The 4,043-nt window shown below is 40.2% G+C and overlaps 1 pseudogene; it reads right to left on the bottom strand.

Moving 5' to 3' along the window:
- RPL26P24 (ribosomal protein L26 pseudogene 24) lies at positions 217–733 on the bottom strand (annotated as a pseudogene).

Genomic DNA, 4,043 nt, shown 5'->3' with positions numbered 1-4,043 from the left:
AGAGCAGGTCTAAACACCATGTGTTATTATTATCTTCTTCTTCCTCTTCTTTTTTTTTTTTTGAGACACAGTCTCACTATGTCACCCAGGCTGTGCAGTGCAGTGGCATGATCACAGCTCACTGTAGCCTCAATGTCCCAGGCTCAAGCAGTCCTCCTGCCTCAGTCTCCCCAGTAGCTGGGCCCACAGGCATGTCACCGTGCCTGGCTATTTTTTTTTTTTTCAAGTTTTGATGAAAGCTTGTATACAAGATTCCTTTATTCCTTTATCCAATTGTTTCTTCCTTGTATTTGCCCCTTTCCCTTCCTACTTGCTAAGATTTGGCTTTCCGTTCAAGAATCTTTTTGCAGTCTTTGTCCAGTTTTAGCCTAGTGCTAACCACCTTGCTGGGGTGAATGCCTATGTGGACAGTTGTGCCATTAGCCTTTTCCTGCTGCACCTGTGCAATGTAGGTGACATATTTCTTCCTGTAAACCTGGACTACTTTGCCAATTTGCTGACCTTTGTAGTGCCTGTGTACAACCTGAACTTCATCATCCTTTCGGATGGTCATGGATTGAACATTGTACTTCTGTCTCAGCTCTTTGCAAAGAGAGGAAGACCTAATATTTCTGAGAATGTGGGAAAGTGCATTGAAATGCCTTTTGTGGTACTTGCTTCGATCAGAAGTCACAAAGGGATTGAACTCCACTTTGGCCACTGCCGCTTTGGTGATGGCCACAAAAGGGAAGAGCTATTTTTTTATTTTTTATTTTTATGTAGAGACAAGGGTCTCCCTATGTTGCCCAGGCTGGTCTTGAACTCCTGGGCTCAAGTGATCCTCCCGCCTTGACCTCCCAGAGTGTTGAGACTACAGGCGTGAGCCACCGTGCCCGGCCTATTATCTTCTTATTTATCTTGACACACAGAACGACAGCAGTCTGCAGTCTGCATTCTTCCCCCTGATGGCCGATCCTCTGCATCCATCCTCAGGATCAATCTTCAGGGTTATGTCTCTTAAATTAAAAGACTGCTATGTATGCTTGAATCTAAAATTCAATCTTGTTACTGATTCCAAGATACTTAGAGAAAGTTTCCTAATAGAGCTATTGGCTGCAGGGCAGCATCTGCTCATTCCTTTCTGTTTTCTCATCTGAGGAATCTCTCTGCCCTTTGCACTCCATGAGGATTTCCACAGCTGGCCTCATTCCACAGGAAGAGCTTGAGGAGGCACAGTTCTGTTGGACACCTCGCCTTGCTGCTAGCTGGGTGATTCTTTGTAAGCCCCTCTCCTGAATATTACTACATACCCTACTTCATCCTCAAGCTCTGGGCAAGAAAATACACTTCTTTTTTAGTTGACTGTTAAATTTTTATCAAAATTAAAAAATAATTAGGTAAGATTGAAAAGAAGTCATCAGCCCTATCCTGCCATTCCCCACTTCTGACTTCTCAATTTAACTGTTTGAGCTGCATCTCTGCATTTTATTTAAAAACCAGTCAATCTAGCTAATTTTTTTCAGTTTTATACATGTATTATTTCTCGTCATTTTACTGTGGAAGAGGAGCATTTGGTTTTTTTAGACCTCTTCTCTTCAACGCAAATACATACAAGACAAACACACATGTATTTCCTTTCTCCATATAATAATTATATCATAATTTTGGCATACAGCAATATTCACTATGTACATGATTATAACTATGTTAACATTAATCATAGCTGAGTCATAGATTATTCTGTTATCACCAATTATTATGTTTCCTTTCTTCTTTTTCTTTTTTTTTCTGGAAACAGCGTCTCACTCTGTTGCCCAGGCTGGAGTGCAGTGGTGTGATCTTGGCTCACTGGGTTCAAACGATTCTCCTGCCTCAGCCTCCCGAGTAGCTGGAATTACAGGTGCATGCCACCATGCCCAGCTGATTTTTGTACTTTTAGTAGAGACAGGGTTTCACCATGTTGGTCAGGCTGGTCTTGAACTCCTGACCTCCTGATCCGCCCGCCTCGGCCTCCCAAAATGCTGGGATTACAGGTGTGAGCCACAGCGCCCAGCCACTCCTCTATGTTTTTTTAAGTGTGTACTTTCTGTAATTTTTCTTCTCTTTTTGTGTTACTCATGGGAGGTATTCTCTATCTCTCAACATTTTCATTAAAATTTTCATTTCTACTCTCAAATTTCTTATTTTAAAGAACATTTTATTCTCTGATGTTCCTTTTTCTTGTATGATGTGATGTTCTATTTATTCTTATTTTATAGGTGCAATATCTTTTCTAATTTCTCTGAGGTAATGCATTATGTGTATTTTGCAATATCTTTCTTTCCCGAGATTGCTTTTTGTGTGTTTATTTTTCTAACATTAGAGGTTTTTAAAATGACTGGTGCTTCTTAGCTCTTTGTTCACTTTCATAAATGAATCAAGAAACATTATCTAGAAGCACAGCATTCCCAGATGAAGCTTTGATGGGTGGGCTTCAGCATTTGGGTGGGGCCTCAGCTACTTCACTGTGCCATCTCTAAATACCACGACCCGTAAGTCTCTTCTACTGATGTGTCAGTATACTCAGAAAGAGACCTCCTAGTCTTTAGCCTGTCAGGTGTAAGCTGGCTGCCAGCATCCTGGGAAACTCAGAGAGGACGGGGCCTGGAGTGGGGATACAGAAGGAGTCTTAGTCAATGCCCCTGTTTTCATAGGACTCTTGGTCTTGGATACATGTGTCATCCCTGAGTATAGAGTGCTCTAGGTCAACTTTTCCTGGTTCCCGCTAAAGATAGAGTAACGGTAGCTCATTGACTTCAGGGATCTAACGGCTTCTGTGCAGACATTTTAACCAGCCTTTATTCAGCCTTCTAATCTCGACTGTTTTTGAGTTCCTGAGGCTTCCTAATAATCTGTAGTATAAATTTGGGCATTAGGGCTACTGCACTTACAGTTTAGGTTTCTGTTTTCCTTGGTCTGCTAAGTTGGTTACCCATCCATCTGTTTTGCAAAACAGCATTTTGTTGCTGTCATCTCCAGTCTCTTTTTGATTATTGAGGGTTATGTCTTTTGCAGTTTCTTAGTTATCATTTTAGTGAGGCTTGGGAAGAAGCAGGTGTAAACTCATATGATAAAGCTCACGGGTAAATGGAAGTTCTTTGGGAGGTACTTCAGCACCATTCTCTGAGGGGCATGTGTAGGTTTACCAAGCAAAGAAGACAGTTCTTTTCTTCTTTACATACATTTTCCTTCCTGACAGCAGCCAGACTTTTTTTTCCAGGATTTAACTCTTTTTTTTTTTTTTTTTTTAGCTGGATGAAACTGTAACCAGGGGTCCTGCTCTCTCCTATTCAGGTCCTTTTCTCTCTTATGCCAAAGAATCAGTTTGATTCTTTCTTCTTGAGATTTGAATCCTCAGAAGAAGTAAAAACAGGTCTGAAAATATTTGGAATTTATCCATCTCCCATCCACAGCATTCTAACCAGATTCCTTCCTCTATTAGGCCATTCCTGGTTTTCTTGCCTTCTAGGTTCCAGAAACTGTCTTGGTTCCTATTGATTTCTAGTTTGGTTCTTCAGGCTTCCAGTCAATTCCATTAACTTCTGATAATGTTTCAATGAATGTCTCTTTTGTTTAAGTTAGCCGTAATTGTGTACAACCAAAGAACTACAATTGATGCAGAAACTCAGTAGTTTATTTGATTTTGAAACAATTTCTTATGTTTTGTAGTTTCAAGGCTGAGAAACAACAACAGAAAAAAAACAAATTTAGGTGTTTTCTTTTTCTGCCAAAGTAATGGATTCCTTCATGATATGATTTCATATTTTCATGAAATAACTTTTGTGAAAGAATTAGAGGACTAGGACCCCAATATTAGTAAACTATTGCTGCAAAAAGCTATTGTGACAAAAACAATATATCAGTGGCAAGTGATAAGCATTTATTTCTTGCTCATGTATCTGTGGGTGACTGAAGTGGCTCTTCTTCAAGCTGCAGATTTGCATTGGCTGGAGCTGTTCTGTTCAATGCATTTAATTATGGGGCCAAGCCAGATGGGCAGAAGCTATTCAGGTTATATCCTTATT

Source organism: Homo sapiens, chromosome 7 (assembly GCF_000001405.40).
Source record: "Homo sapiens chromosome 7, GRCh38.p14 Primary Assembly".
NCBI lineage: Eukaryota > Metazoa > Chordata > Mammalia > Primates > Hominidae > Homo > Homo sapiens.
The sequence above is the reverse complement of the archived record's forward strand: the minus strand, read 5'-3'. Positions and strand labels throughout refer to the sequence as shown.